Genomic DNA, 15,163 nt, shown 5'->3' on the forward strand with positions numbered 1-15,163 from the left:
GTTCACAGCAGCTTTATTTTTAATAGTGCCAAACTAGAAACAACCCAAACCTGTCCTTCAATGGGTAAATGGTTAAACTAACTGCTGTATACCCATACCATGGAATACCACTCAGCAACTGCTGAAACATACCACAACTTGGGTGGATCTCAGGGGCAGGATAGTCAACGAAAAAAGCCAATCTCAAAAAGTCACATCCTGTATAACTCCATGCATATAACATTCCTGAAAAGACAAAAGTATAGAGATGCAGACTAGATTAGTACTTGCCAGCAGTTATGAATGGTGGGGAAAAGGGGCTGCTGTGGCTGTAAGGGGGTGGGACAAGGAGATATCTGGGATGATGACATAGTTTTGAATCTTGATTGTGGTAGTGGTTATAGGAATTTTCACACGATAAAAAATGACAATGAACTCTATACACCTTGCTCCGATGCCCAATGTCCTGGTTTAGACATTTTACTACAGTTGTGTAAATATGTAACCGTGGGAGAAAGCTGGGGGAAGGGTACTGGGACCTCTCTGTGCCATTTGTGCAACTTCCTGTGAATCTATAATTATTTCAAAATATGGAAAGAAAAAAGAGAGATTTGTTGAAAGTGTGCAGTGATCACACCATTCTCCCATTTGAACTCCTTCAACAGTGACTGACTGCCTGGAGAATAAGATTCAGTTCCCTAGCACAGCACAGGAGATGGCAGTCCTCTGGCCCAATCTTAGGCAACATCAAACCACCTGGGATCAGCGGACACACCCAGCTACTGCACACCTTCAGGCCTCTGCCTAAGCTGTTCCATCTGCTTGAAATGACTTCCCTCCCCTTTTTGACCTGCTGGTCAACATTCACCCTCCTTCAAAAATCTAGTTCAAGCACTTGCTTCTCTTACATGTTTCCTCCTCCAGCCTTTCCCTTCAAACCATGCTGGGCATGCCCCCATTTTTGCCACCCTCCCAGTATTCGCTTTAGATTGCATTCCGAGTCTACTTACACTTCTACTCTGTAAGGGCAGAAAATGTGTCTGATTTATTTCTCAATCCTCTACTGATTACACAGTGGGTGCCCAAAAAATGTTTGTTAAAGACAAAGCTAAATGGGAGAAAAAATGCGGTAGGGCAGCTGGGAGCAGTGGTTAAGATCGGGACTTTGACTTCAGACTCCCAGTGGGTCTGCTATTTATCTGGGTGATGTGCAGCAAGCGATTGCACTCATCTGCAACACGGACGAGCAGAGAGCCTCAGGGTACCTCTAGATAAGAAGTGCACAGCCCACTTAGGAAGGCATCTTGATGCAGGAATGCACCCTAAATCTGACGAAGCCTCGTCTAGATCCAATTACTAACTTACAGAGATTACAGAGAAACACATTCAATTACACTGCAGAGATGCAATCAATCAAATACCAACTATGGAAATGCTAAGGAACAACTCGATTGCTTCAACAAATAAACTACCAAGAAAACAAAGAAATAGGAGGGGGATCTATGGATTAAGAGAAACTTAAAAGACGTATCATCCAATCAACAACGTATGGCCTTCTCTTGCTCTACTTTCAAACTATTAAGGAAACCTAAAATTCATGGGGCAGCTGGAAATTTGAATATTGACTAGTTATTTGATGATATTAAGCAATTATTACTTTTTCAACTTTAAAAGAGTCAGTACCTTTAGAGACCTACCGAAGTGTGAAGTATAACTACTGTACACCTCCTGAGCACCCTGAGGTTGTGCCCGTATGTTTTACAGATGAGTGCAATCGCTTCTGCACATCACCCAGATAAGCAGCAGACCCACTGGGAGTCTGACTCAAAGTCCTGATCTTACCCACTGCTCCGAGCTACCCTACCACATTTATTCTCCCATTTAGCTTTGTCTTTACCAAACATTTACTGGGCACCCACTGTGTAATTAGTATCCCAAAAAATAATGAATGAAATGACATGATATTTAGGATTTGCTTGAAAATAATTATGGGTGGTAAGGGTGCAAGTGGATACCATTAGAGATGAAACAAGATTGGTCAGGAGTTAATAACTGTTAAAGCAGGACACTATTCTGTTTATTTTGTATATGTTTGAAAGTTCCCATAATAAAAGTTAAAATAAAAAGAATGATGTTGAAACTGGTTCATACAATCAAGTACAAAGTATCAGGAATTAATTATTCTGAAGGAAAATTATGTAAAAATGGCACCTTCCTAACCAAGTGTGAGGTGTAACTACTGTATGTATGTAGACCAAAAATAGTTGCCCTATTGGCAAATCAATAGTCTCAAGAAGAAAAAAAATCTGGTCTCTGTTTTATCTTATGCCTCATGAAAACAACTGGTTTACTCGCTATTAACTGGTTTGTCTGGTCCTTTTCTTTATCCAGAAAATTAAGAATATTTTATCTTAGACACATTCAAGTATCCCCTCTGTTGTTTATTTACGGGACCAAATAAACAGATTTTAATCTGTGAACAAATTAAAGTCCTGGCACCCTGAAAATTAAATTGCCAGGAAAATCAAAGCTGTCAAAAGAGAAGTCTATGCAAAAATAGTATTGTTTTTAACTCTGCAGGATCCTTTTGAAGAAAAAAAAAAGTTAAATGGAGGAAAACATTAAATAGATTGGTGGTCATTCTTCCAGAACAAGTTAAAAGCCAAAAGAGAATACTCAGAGCTGAGGGACCCAGGAAAGAATCCTTATCTGGGAAGTGATCTGGGTTCGAACTCCACTCACCAGCTGCTTGCTAAGAAACAGACTACTTAGACTCCTGAGCTTCCGTTTCCACAGGGCTCCAGTTACAATCAAATGAGTATCTGGGCTGGCACCTGGGCAAACAGGGCCTGGCTCCCCTGGCCTTAGGCTACCTTTCCTGCTCTCCTCACAGCTCCTCCCTCCCACACAGCCAGTCCTGGAGGATGACGATCCTGCAACCAAGCTGAATGAATCTGTATTTGGCTTGGCTCACAGCATTAAAAAAAAATTTAATTAGCTATTGCCAACATTTAAAAATCAGAACAAATGTGGAGTGCTGCCTTCCTTTTTAGAGACAGGGTCTTGCTCTGTCACCCAGGCTGGAGCACAGTGGTGTGATCATAGCTCACTGCAGGCTCCAAATCCTGGGCTCATGGGATCCTTCCACCTCAGCCTCCCAAGCAGCTAGGACTACAGGTGGATGCCACCACACCTAGCTAATTTCTTAAAATTTTTTGTAGAGACAGATCTCGCTACGTTGCCCAGGCTGGTCTTGAACTCCTGGCCTGAAGTGATCCTCCCACATCAGCCTCCCAAAGTGTCTTGAAATTACTGGCGTGAGCCATGGCACCCAGCCAAATTCCACCTTCTTCTAGAAAACTGCTGGGTAAGGTTCCTGTTCTTTAGGGTCCCCACGACTCTGTGTCCTTACACCTGGCCCTCCAGACTGATTCTCAACTCCACAGTGGCCTACGGTCCTTCCTTGGCCCTGCTCCTTCACACCTCTGTGCCTCTCCCTGCCTAGCAAATTTCTTATCACCCTCAAGGCCCCCCAGCACCACCTGTCACCTCCTCCACATTTCCATGGCATAGCCCCTCCCCTATAGCAAGGGTTGTACAGTCCTGGAACTAAGTGTCTGCATGCCTGCCTTCTCTACTGGGCTCCTGGGCTCTCTCGGGAAAGGGACCCCGTTGCTATCTGCCTTGTGTCCGTAGGGTCTAGCAGAAAGCATGACCTAGATAATGCAGAATTCAGTAAATGTCTCTTGTATGTGTGGAAGAAAGCTACAGCTAAACTATTATAAAAATGTGAGATTTTATATCACAGCTTGTTCCAACAGTTAGCAATTAAAGGGGTCAAGGACACCAAAATGTTTCACAAAATAGAACAAGCTTCCATCTGCTTACAAGTTTCACACGCTAATCAGAAGTCACTAAATGAACAGATAAAGCAGAGACAACAGGCAGGCTGGGCCATTTCTTTGATCATTCATTCATTCATTGAGCTGATACTACTGAATACTTCCTGTGTGCTTTCTAAGCACTGGGGATAAAGCAGTGGACAAATCAGACAGCTACCTGTTTTCACAAAGTTACATCCTAGTCGGGGAGACAGAAAATAAGCAGGCAAATAAATAGAATAGTTTCAAACCAGATGAGAGCTAGGAAGGAAATTTTTTAAATAATGAAATAGCATGACTAAGGGAAGAAAGAGGGTGGTCGAGGAGGGCCTCACCCAAAACGAGACATCTGACCAGAGGAAGGAGCAGAAAGAGCTACTTGTGCCAAGATCACGGAGACAACTCCAAAGACGGGGAAACAGCAAATGCAAAGGTCCTGGGGCAAATGCGGGCTGGCATGTTCAAGGCGGGCGAGATGAGTGGGACGGGGCAGCAGTCTTCTGGGGGAGGGGCGCGGTGGTAAGGGATTCGGGCTGGGTCCCCTCTGGCACTGCTGGACACCGAGTGTGCAATGACAAGGCAAGAGAGGAGTGCGCGGGGAGGCGGGAGGCTGGGCGGGTGGGGAGGGGGTTCCTACACCACTCACACCAGCACGGGCCAGCACCCTGCCCAGTCTTCCACAGATGCACACCGGGGTCCTGCCCAGGCGTCTGCATACATTCACACAGCCTGACAACAACCCTGTCCAGAAGAGACATTTCCCCACCTTCCCGAAGGCAAAACCGCGGCAGAGCGAGGGTCAGTGCCTTGGCCAAGGTCGCGGGGACGCGACCCCGGGCCCCTGGGCACCCGGCGCAGGAGTGCAGCTGTCTGCCCCACCTCCGGGAGGGATGGCGCCCGCAGACCCCACGGGCAGGTCGGCCGGGCCAGGCCGGTGAGCAGGCCCGCAGCCCGGGGCTGCTGACAGCCGGGCGGAAGGGGGCGCCTGCGGCATCCCCCAGCACAGGGGCGACGGCTGCGGCTGCCAGGGCCCCGCAGCCCCCGGCCCGCCCCGAAGCCCCCGGCCGCGCGGTTCCCTCACCGCCCCTCCCCGCGGGCCCGGCCCGAGCAGCCGCCGCCAGGCCTAGCCCGCCCGCCGGGCTCACCTCGCCTCCCCGCCGCCGCGCCACGGGGAGAGGGCGGGCGGGCGGACTGGCGGCGCTGCGTGCTAGTCACTCCTGGCTCCGCGGCCCCGGCTCCGCCGCCGGCCCGCCCCGCTCCGCTCCGCCCCGCCGCCGCCGCCGCCGCCGCCGCCGCAGTGGGTGTGAGGGGCGCCGGGGCGCTGCGACCCTTCCGGTCCCGCTCCCTTCTCCGCCGCTGCCGCCGCCGCGGCGCCCGGTCTGACAGACCCTCGCGCCGACCAATCAGCGCGCGGAGAGCGGAGCAGGCGCGGCCAATGGCGCCTGGGGGGCGGGCCGATGGAGGGTGGCGCGGGCGGGGTCGGGGGCCGGGTCGGGCGCCCGAGGTCCTGGGCCGGGGTTCCGCGGGTTCTTCGCCCCCGGGCCTTTCAGTGGCGCGGGCCGAGTGGCCATGGCGCTCGGGTGCGCGCAGTGCACGCGGTGAGCTGGAGACGCAGGCATTGCGCGGCCCACCGGCTGAGCCCGCTCTCCCTGCGAGGGGGGCGCAGCTCGGTGGAGAGGGTGGCCCGGAGGACCGGGAACCGGGCTGGAGGCGCGCGGGGCTCACACCGCGGGGTCCGCGGGGAGCCGGGCCTCGGGCTGCAGGTGCAGGCTTGTGGCGGTGAGGCGACTGGAGCGGCACGGGAGCCCGCCCGTTTCGGGGAGAGCCCGGGGCGATCGCGGGGGGAGGCCGGCCTGGCGTCCGGGAGCCCGGCGTGCTAGGGCCCGGTAGGCGGGGCGGGCCTCGCACTCGGTTGCTCGCTGCGGCGCCGGAGGAACGGGTCTATGGGGGTGTGGGTGAGGCCAGAAGCCGGGTCGAAGAGGGGGAGGGGGTGCGAAGAGATGGCGGTGTGTAGACAGGTGACCCGGTGGGTCGGTGACGCAGGAGGAGACTGCGCTTGGTGGCGGGATCACTTAGTTGACAACATCTAAAAATTAGGAGGTGCGGCAGGGCGCGGTGGCTCACGCCTGTAATCCTAGAACTTTGGGAGGTCGTGGCGGGTGGACTACCTGAGGTGAGGAGTTCGAGACCAGCCTGGCTAACCTGGTGAAACCCCGTCTCTATTAAAAATACGAAGCAATGAGCTGGGCGTGGTGGCGGGCGCCTGTAATCCCAGCTACTCGGGAGGCTGAGGCAGGAGAATCACTTAAACCTGGGAGGCGGAGGTTGCAGTGAGCCGGGATTGCGCCATTGCACTCCAGCCTGGGTGACAGAGTGAGACTCTCTCAAAAAAAAAAAAAAAAAAAAAAAAAAAAAAAAAAAAAAAAAGGGAGGTGCTCAGTCAAGCCTCTGAGAGGAGTGGGGGGCGGGGCGAGGAGTCTCTTGCTCAGAGCCCCCTAGGGACTGGGACCCGTTGACTCTGAGCTGCTTTTGAGGCTGGATCAGGTACCAGCGGCCTGGGGGTCGTACAGGATGGGAGAGGCCGGGGCTTGGGATGTTGCCAGATCTACGTTGAAAAGTGAAGCAGGAAGAGAGGCACTGAGGCTGGGCACATGGGGAAAACCGTGGAGAGCCGGCCTTTGGGGACTAGAAGAGTGGGAACAATGGTTGACAAATGGTGAGTGTGGTGTAGAACAGCAGTAACACAATACCAGGATCCACAGAGTGGCCAGGGCCAGAGTGGGGAGAAGGAACAGGACTCTGCAGATGGGGAGGGTAAGGGGCTGGGTGGCGTGAAGGGTGGTTGCAGAATTTGGGGAGGGCAGCTAGCCTGTGACCCAGGTTCCAAGGGCACTGAGGTCTGGGCCAGGCCGCTTGGAGGCACCAGAGCCTCAGAGGAGGGGTGGGGTAGAGGAACGGATCCAGCATGGTGTCCCCCTTGGCCACCAGAGGGAGTTTTCTAAATTTGAGCATGGCTCATCGCTGCTTGAAATTCTACGTCACAGTGTGGCCTGCATTGAGGAGGGCCCACACCTGTCGCTACCTCAGACTCACCTGCCACCTGCCTCAAGTGCATGAGAGAGAACAGGAAACCAGAAATTGTCAGGATCGAGGATTATGGGAAAAGAGTAAAAGCCTAGCTGTCAGATCTGAGGTTCCACCAAGGAGCACTGATGGGTGCTTCTCATTAGGAAGGCGGTGCGGTGGCTCACACCTGTAATCCCAGTACTTTGGGACGCCGAGGTGAGTGGATCACCTGAGGCCAGGAGTTCGAGACCAGCCTGGCCAACATGGTGAAACGTCATCTCTATTAGAAATACAAACATTAGCTGGGCGTGGTGATGGGTGCTTGTAATTCCAGCTATTCAGGAAACCAAGGCAGGAGAATAACTTGAATCCACGAGGCAGAGGTTGCAGTGAGCCGAGATTGCTCCACTGCACTCCAGCCTGGGCAACAGAGCAAAAACTGCATCTCAAAAAAATAAAAACAAAAAAACAGAGGGGACACCAGTTCCCAGCACTCCAGGCCTAACTTCATAGCACTCACATCATGTCAAGTGAGTAACCAAAAATCAGTGTACATATGTACACAGCTATACATATCTCACACTAAGTTTTCTGTAAGAGTTCTTTTTATTGCAGAGACACTGCTTTTTTTCTGGTTTATGAAATACAGTGAACATTTATGGACACAAAGCTGAGGTGACAGGGTGGGGAGGGGGGCCTTGGAACAGCACCAAGAATCCTGGTTGAACCCTCCAAGTGAAAAGATCCTGCCACGACATACGTGAACCAGGTGTGACACGTGAGCACGTCTCACCTGATCCGGCCTATGGTGGGGAGAAGCAATTGAGGAAGGCCTTCTGGGCAGGAGGAAGTTGTTGCTGAGGCTGCCGAGCAGGATGTGTTGGGCCTGTGACTTAGGCAGAAAGGGCGCTCAGGCCCACATGCTCAGATGTGAGGACCTGCTTGCTGTGTTCAGGGAGCCACAAGTCACCTGGTCTTAGGGAAAGGTGAGGGGACTGGAGAGTTCTGAGGACCTTGAGGTAGATTGGCACTGCCAGGCATGTAGGCTGGCTTTAGCTCACTGATACGCCTTGTTCAGCCCAGAGAGGTTTTCTTTTTTTAATTGATTAGTTGATTTAAGAAACATTTAGATTTGGGATGAGCTGTTTTGGATGTTTATCCTCAATGAAACTCATGTTCAAACTTAATCTCCAATGTGGCAGTACTGAGAGGTGGGGCCTCTAAGCGTGGTTGGGATTAACCTGTCGATGGATTCATGGATTAAAGGGTTATCACCGGAGTGGGACTGGTGACTTCATTAGAAGAGGAAGGAAGACCTGAGCTGGCCTGTGAATATGCTCCGCCCCCTGGCCATGTGACACCTGCGCCACCCTCAGGACTCTGCAGAGTCCCCAGCAGCAAGAAGGCCCTCACCAGGTGCAGCCCCTCAACCTTGGACTTCTCAGCCCCCAGGGCTGTAACAAATAAATTCTTTTTTAAAGTAAATTACCCAGTTTCAGGTATTCTGTTATAAGCAACAGAATAAGAAACAGACTAAGACAAGAGCACAGCGGGGTGGAGGAGCTAGGGGTGCCTGGGGCATTGGGGACCTGTCCGGAGGCCAGCTGTGTATGCAGCCACAGTGCCAACGGGTTTCTGTGATCCTGATATCCCCCACCCTTGACTGGCCTGGATTCCAATCCGACTCTTGTCAGCTGTGCTCCTCTGGGCAAGGGATTCACTTCTGTCTGCCTTGGTTCTGTAGGAAGTGGCATGGAGAAGGACAGAAGCAGGAAGAGCTGGGTGCGGCCCATGCAGCAGGGATGGTGTAGGTCCTTATGCTGACTGCCTCTGTCCCCTCAACACTTTGCCTGCCCTCCCCCCATTGCACTAACCCACATCTTCCCTTCTCCCCTACAAGGACCCAGAGATGTGCTAGAGGGTGTAAGTCGGGGCTGTCCCAGCTGTGTGTTGTAGAAAACTAAACTGCACTTAAACCAATGGGGACGTTTACTGGGAGGTGCCTGTAACATCATACCCAGGGGAGGTAGGGGCAGAGCTGGTCTGGAAACTCTAGGGCCATGGAGGCCACTGCAGGCCCAAATGGAGTTTGAAAACCCACAACAATGGACTCTGATGGTCCCCCAGACAGGGCTTCCATTCTGGAACTAGTCAGCCATGCTGGGCAGACAGGCTCATGTGAGGACATGGCAGGGAAGGGCAGAATTGGGAAAGGCAGAAGTCTGGAAGTTTCTTCCATGGTGATGATTAGAATGAGGGCATCTGAGCTGGGGCGCAGCTGAGGGTGTGGCACTGTATGGAAACAGGGTTATTTGGGGGCTGTATAACTGAATGCTGAACCCAGTGGCCCTTAGCCCTCCTCCTCCGGGAATCCCCCAGAGCACCAGCAGCTGGGACTGTCCTCAGGCAGGGAGCCAGCAAGCTGTTCTCCAGAAGTCTGACCAGCCCTGAAGGGAAGACCTGAGGTATGAACATTATGACACCCCCACCCCCACCAGATTTCCCAGCAGTGAATCCTGCATCAACCAGCCCTACCATGCCTTAGACCTTCCAGTCAGCCCCCCTTGAATCTGAACAGACAGCTCCATGTCATATGGCTAAGAAAAGTAAGACAAAAAACTGCATCTTGAAAGAAACAGACTCTGTGGAGAAGGAAAATTCAAAAAATAAAAATAAAACTACTGCTAGCTTCAGAGAGAATGAAAAAATATTGCATCCTTCAAACAAGAACCAGCCATTTAAAAATTATGCAGCACAGGTGTATGCAACATGGCCTTGCTCTGTCAGCTGAGATGGCCTAGAAGCAATGACATCTCAGCAGTGGCTGACACACCCAGAGCCCAGATCTTGTTCTCTAATGTCATTCGCCATAAAAGGAACCAGGGATCCCTGGAGAAATGGTTGATTCTAGGGCTGGGACAGGGGATGGACAAGACGAGCCTGGAGAATATTGTTGTGCAGGTAAGGAAGTACTTACAACACACACACACACACACACACACACACAAGGAAGTACAACACACACGTAAGAAAGTACACACACGGAAGTACTTACCCCCCCCCCCACACACACACGGAAGTACTTACCACACACACACACACACACACACACAAGGAAGTACAACACACACGTAAGGAAGTACACACACGGAAGTACCCCCCCACACACACACACGGAAGTACTTACCACACACACACACACACACACACACACAGATGGGGCTATGTCAAAGAGACACAAGAGCCAACTGAAAGAGCCCCCAGTGGCTGTTGCTGGAACCATTGGAACAACAAACTAACATAGTATTGGGCATGACTCAAAATATAAAATAAATATCTATGGTTCATTCTAATAGAAATAATAAATGGGGAAGAATAGAAAAGTTTGTGGCCGGGCACAGTGGCTCGCACCTGTAATCCCAGCACTTTCGGAGGGCGAGGTGGGCGGATCACGAGGTCAGGAGATCGAGGCCATCCTGGCTAACACGGTGAAACCCCATCTCTACTAAAAATACCAAAAAAAATTAGCCGGGTGTGGTGGCGGGCACCTATAGTCCCAGCTACTCAGGAGGCTGAGGCAGGAGAATGGTGTGAACCCGGGAGGTGGAGCTTGCAGTGAGCCGAGATCACGCCACTGCATTCCAGCCTGGTGACGAAGTGAGACTCTATCTCAAAAAAAAAAAAAAAAAAATATATATATATATATATATAGTCAGAGCAAAAAAAAACCCTCGAAAAATTAAATCATGTTGGCAGAAATGAAAAATCTTAGTAGCAGGTTGGGAGATAAAATTGAAATCTCTCAGTAGGGCAAAAAGACAACAAATGAATGATAAAAAAGATAAGAAATTAGAGGCCAGTCCAGCAGCTTCACCCTGGGAATAATAGACACTCCAGAGACAGAGAAACAGAGAAATCCACAACAAAATAATTCAAGAAAATTTCCTAGTCTGAAAGGCAAAAGTTACCAGATGCAATCAACCCTAAATGAAATGTGCTCTAGGCAACTTGTGGTATTTCAGAACACAGGAAACAAAAAAGAGACCAAAAGGTCACCTACAAAGACATCAGACTTTGGACTCAATAGCAGCACTGGGAACAAGACGATGAAGCACTACCTTTAAAATTCTGCAGGAACACCTTTTTCTGACCTAGAATTGTGTGTTTAGCTAAACCCTCTATCAAGTATAAATAAAAAAATCATTTCCACACCTGCAGATTCTCAAAAAACTTGCCTTCTGTTGTGGCCTGAATATTTGTGTTTCCCCAAATTCATATGTTGCAATCCTAACCCCTGCCACATGTGATGTTATTAGGAGGTGAGGCCTTTGGGAGGTGATGAGTGTGAGGGTGGAGCCCTTATGAATGGGATTAGTACACTTATCAAAGAGGCTCCAGAGAACTCCCTTGTCCCTTCTGCCATGTGAGGACACAGCAAGAAGGCTGCTCTGTACAAACCAGGAAATGGGCCCTCACCAAGACTCCACATCTGCCGGTGCCTTGATCTTGGACTTCCCACTGTTGAGAACTGTGAGAAAGAAATGTGGGATTTTTATAAGGCACCAGGGCTGTTACAGCAGGCTGAACTGACTTAAGACACCTCTCAAGCACCTTTTCTCAAGAATGGGCTTCACCAGAACAAAAAAGGAAACTCAGAAGAAGGAAGACACAGATACAGAAAACAGGAGCCCAGGCCGGTATGGCAGCTCACGCCTGTAATCCCAGCGCTTTGGGAGGCCGAGGCAGGTGGATCACGAGGTCAAGAGATCGAGACCATCCTGGCCAACATGGTGAAACCTTGTCTCTACTAAAAATACAAAAATTAGCTGGGTGTGGTGGCGCACGCCTAGAGTCCCAGCTACTTGGGTGGCTGAGGCAGGAGAATTGCTTGAACTCGGGAGGCAGAGGTAGCAGTCAGCTGAGATCACGCCACTGCACTCCAGCCTAGCAACAGAGCAAAACTCTGTCAAAAAACAAGCAAACAAACAAAAAAACAAAAACAGGAACCCAACACAGAAGACATGGCCTGGGAGGCCCATGGAGGGTGGCGAGAAGTGACCCTGAGGTGATGGCTCTGCACCAGACGTGGAGAGCGACTGAGCCATACTGAGCAGCGTGACCCACGGGGTGAACTGTCTTCACCAAGACCCCACCTCCATCAGGCCATCTGTAGCCCGGGGACAAAATGCCCAGGAGAGCCTGGCCTAGGTTCTTGGCGGTACTTGGCTTGGCCATGTGCCGACGAGGGGCGCTCCCCTCCTCTGCTGAGGACGCACAACATTCACAGAAGTTTCCAGCTTTCCCCCCACCGAGAGCTGGAGGCAGGCCGTGGCGAGCTTAGAAGCAGGACGTACAGGTCAGCCCCCTCCCTCTGACTATTTCCACTGCAGGTCCAGCGCGTGGTCCCCACCTTGGCCCTACCAGGTGCCTGACTGTGCTGAGCCCAAGACTTCCTCGAGACCTTCCTCATGACTTCCCCAGGAGGGGCCTTGTCAGTTCCCAGAGAAGCAGGGGTCAGACCACGACCTGGAGACTGATCTGCTCACCTCCTGGAACCTCCGTCTAGTGGAGGCAGTGCCGCCCTCTCCTTGCACCGCCAGCATGCACTCACCCTCCACTTTCGAACTAGGCAGTGTATTTGGGGGATAGATACACAGGTGAAACTATAAAGAAAAGCAAGGGAACAATTGGCACAAAAGTCAGAATGGCCGTCGCCTCTTGGGCATAAGGATGAAATACACTTTCTAGGTCTTGTCCAGAGAAAAATGTTCTGGCTAGTTTGTAGTCTCCTAATCTTGGAAGTTGTATTGGTCATGGATTGATTAGTAGGACAGAAACTATTCTAGCCATTTCCCTGGGACTGACCCAGGGCCTGGAGGACAGAAGTCAGGAAAAGCCCCTGTGGCACCTGGTTGCTGCCAGCTCTCCAGAGTTGGGATTTTAGAGGAGCCACAGGCGACCTCTGTTCATGGTCACCACTGCCTGGCATGCTGAGGTGGGTGCGTTTTGGGGAGCCCCTGAGGGCCACAGCAGAACCCCGTTTGCTGAAGCAACATTTCTATCTGCTTCTGCCAGAGATAAATACAAAATATGATTTCTGCCACTCAACTATCTTCCAAGTCTCCCATGAATGCCTCTCACTGGTGGATAACCTAGAAATGTAGCTCCCAGCTTTCCAGCCCCTGTGATACAGGTGAGGGCATAGGACAGAATGGTGGATAACTGGAAATGTAGCTCCCAGGTTTCCAGCCCCTGTGATACAGGTGAGGGCATAGGACAGGATGGTGGATAACTGGAAATGTAGCTCCCAGGTTTCCAGCCCCTGTGATACAGGTGAGGGCATAGGACAGGATGGTGGATAACTGGAAATGTAGCTCCCAGGTTTCCAGCCCATGATACAGGTGAGGGCATAGGACAGGATGGAAATTTGCTGAGTAGCCCATAGGTAATCCTGGACAGGGTTTATGAGATACTAGGGCTACACACACCCGTTGTCATGAAGACATCATTCAGGTTGTGTGTGACAGCACTTACGTAGGAAGCCTAAGTTCTGACTTCACAAAACTTCAGAACTCTCTGGCTTTCAATCTTTCCATCTGATTGTATTAATGAAACCAGGGACTATAATAGCCTTATTGGGAAAAAAATACAAATTTGAGAGTTTCACCCCTCTATGCTGTCTACAGGTTCTGCCCAACCCCTTCCAGGTTCAGTGGCCCCTCTGCTGAGTCCCAAATCTCTTGGATTTGTTGTATCCTGGACAACAGCCCTCCTTTTCCTACTAGAAACCCATAGGTCTCAGGTGTGGACGAGGCCAATGTTACTAACAAACAGGGCTGCCCCTCCAAACACTGCCGAGCTCCTGCACAGTCCTCAAAATTCAAAGTACACAAAAAGAATGAGGTTAACAAAATGCAAACACACACAAAAAAACTGTATGTTCTTTATTGTCCTAAAATTGCATAGTACTTTTGATTGTGCACGCTTTTAAATAGAGAGCAGAGTTGCCCACTTGAAACTACTCTCTTGCATGGGATATTTCAAGCTGTTTTACTATGGGCAAGGAGCAGGGACCAAAATGCTGCCAGGGCTTAAAAAGAGCCGTGATCAGATTAAACAGAAGTTGGAGAAGTGGAGGGATGTGGGCCACACACGAGAAGAAAATGTTGAAGGAGGCTGAGATTTCAACTGGACTTATAGGAGGCATAGGTGGATGCAGGAGGGGCTCCACGGATGTCAGAGAACAGGATTCAGGAGCAGCCTAGAGAGGAAAGAAAAGGAGAAAGGAGTCCAGAGGGCCAATGCCTTGTGCTCACATCTGAGATGAATGCCACCTGCCAGGAGCAAGCCTGGACACAGAGCATGGGTAGCTAGGATGAACAGTTTGGCCGTTACCACGGCTACAGAAAGCCACATACTAGAAAAATAACTTAAAAGCTATACAGTCGTCATTATAAATATCTTGTCTTTTAAAACTAACTCTAGTGTTGGTTATAAAAGGTTCACAGTTACTCTGAAGAGAGCTGTATCTCTATTGCACAGTAGTGGAGAAGTCTGCTCTGATCCCCATGTGTAAACAATGATTCCCTTCTCCTCTGGCGACTTCAGGACACAGAGAAACAGTATCTGCTGTAAGCAAAAGCACTTGGGTAGAAGGCACGTGGAAGCTGTCAAGCTCTACAGGAGCACGCAGAACATGTGGGATGTCCACTTCTCTTCCCATGTAGCATCCCTGCTGTTGGGACAGGTCTGGAATCAGATGAAAGGTGGTGATGGTCTTGTCACGGTCTCAGCCTCATTCCACAGTTACAGACTTGGCCAGATTTCTGGGGAAGTCAACCTAAAATGAAAGAAAGTGACTGTTCAGGACCCCAAAGATCTCAGCAACATGCTACCTCTCACAGACAATTTTCAGAGTACTTAAAAACAAGAGACAGATGTTCACCATGGTCACCAACCTAGAGACCTGCGTCTTGGAGGCAGATTCCTTAGTCCAGAAGCCTCATTTAACCGTATAAGGTTTAGTCCCTCAATAAACATTTACTGTGCACCTGATGTGTGTCATGATCTGTTAACATGATTTAAAGAATAAGGTTCATGCTTTTAAACACAGGTAACTTGGTGTGTACTGTTAAAAATTAACTTTTCTTGCAAGAATATATATGAATTCCATGGGACTTATTTGTTTAGGGTGGAGTGGGAAGGAAAGGTAGGAATGGTTCATAAGTACGCTTCTA

At 50.3% G+C, this 15,163-nt stretch overlaps 2 protein-coding genes and 1 long non-coding RNA gene across 15 annotated transcripts in view, besides 6 other annotated features; 1 reads left to right on the forward strand and 2 right to left on the reverse strand.

Moving 5' to 3' along the window:
* Positions 1–5,241, reverse strand: part of MAPK9 (mitogen-activated protein kinase 9) — a 58,941-nt gene extending 53,700 nt beyond the window's left edge. For 7 of the 13 annotated variants that reach the window (NM_002752.5, NM_139070.3, NM_001364613.2 and 4 more), the window contains exon 1: positions 5,006–5,241. The gene's annotated coding sequence lies outside the window, so the exon portion shown is untranslated. Of the gene's footprint in view, positions 1–132; positions 226–4,195; positions 4,434–5,005 lie in introns of those variants that run through there. The other 6 variants (NM_001364608.2, NM_001364609.2, NM_001364611.2 and 3 more) reach the window with 2 other exon arrangements.
* Positions 4,757–4,946: a silencer, noted in NCBI's record as "silent region_16762". NCBI's record gives its function as "represses an Ori minimal core promoter by ATAC-STARR-seq in GM12878 lymphoblastoid cells {active_cell/tissue: GM12878}" and the evidence as "EXISTENCE:reporter gene assay evidence [ECO:0000049][PMID:35858748]".
* Positions 5,077–5,446: a silencer, noted in NCBI's record as "silent region_16763". NCBI's record gives its function as "represses an Ori minimal core promoter by ATAC-STARR-seq in GM12878 lymphoblastoid cells {active_cell/tissue: GM12878}" and the evidence as "EXISTENCE:reporter gene assay evidence [ECO:0000049][PMID:35858748]".
* LOC124901151 (uncharacterized) lies at positions 5,390–8,411 on the forward strand. The gene is made up of 2 exons (XR_007059085.1): positions 5,390–5,458; positions 8,129–8,411. It is a non-coding gene; the product is annotated as an uncharacterized LOC124901151 (long non-coding RNA).
* Positions 5,457–5,796: a silencer, noted in NCBI's record as "silent region_16764". NCBI's record gives its function as "represses an Ori minimal core promoter by ATAC-STARR-seq in GM12878 lymphoblastoid cells {active_cell/tissue: GM12878}" and the evidence as "EXISTENCE:reporter gene assay evidence [ECO:0000049][PMID:35858748]".
* Positions 5,457–6,361: a biological region, named in NCBI's record as "H3K27ac-H3K4me1 hESC enhancer GRCh37_chr5:179719561-179720203".
* Positions 5,719–6,361: an enhancer, noted in NCBI's record as "H3K27ac-H3K4me1 hESC enhancer chr5:179719561-179720203 (GRCh37/hg19 assembly coordinates)". NCBI's record gives its function as "activates a minimal SCP1, AML or CMV promoter by ChIP-STARR-seq in primed H9 embryonic stem cells {active_cell/tissue: H9 hESC(primed)}" and the evidence as "EXISTENCE:reporter gene assay evidence [ECO:0000049][PMID:30033119]".
* Positions 12,203–12,703: an enhancer, noted in NCBI's record as "H3K4me1 hESC enhancer chr5:179726045-179726545 (GRCh37/hg19 assembly coordinates)". NCBI's record gives its function as "activates a minimal SCP1, AML or CMV promoter by ChIP-STARR-seq in naive H9 embryonic stem cells {active_cell/tissue: H9 hESC(naive)}" and the evidence as "EXISTENCE:reporter gene assay evidence [ECO:0000049][PMID:30033119]".
* GFPT2 (glutamine-fructose-6-phosphate transaminase 2) overlaps positions 13,856–15,163 on the reverse strand; it is a 52,639-nt gene continuing 51,331 nt past the window's right edge. The window contains exon 19 of the mRNA NM_005110.4: positions 13,856–14,766. Within this exon, the coding sequence (NP_005101.1) occupies positions 14,722–14,766 (45 nt within the window). The 3' untranslated portion in view covers positions 13,856–14,721. The remainder of the gene's footprint in view (positions 14,767–15,163) is intronic.

This window comes from Homo sapiens, chromosome 5, assembly GCF_000001405.40.
Source record: "Homo sapiens chromosome 5, GRCh38.p14 Primary Assembly".
In the NCBI taxonomy this organism is placed as follows: Eukaryota; Metazoa; Chordata; class Mammalia; order Primates; family Hominidae; genus Homo; species Homo sapiens.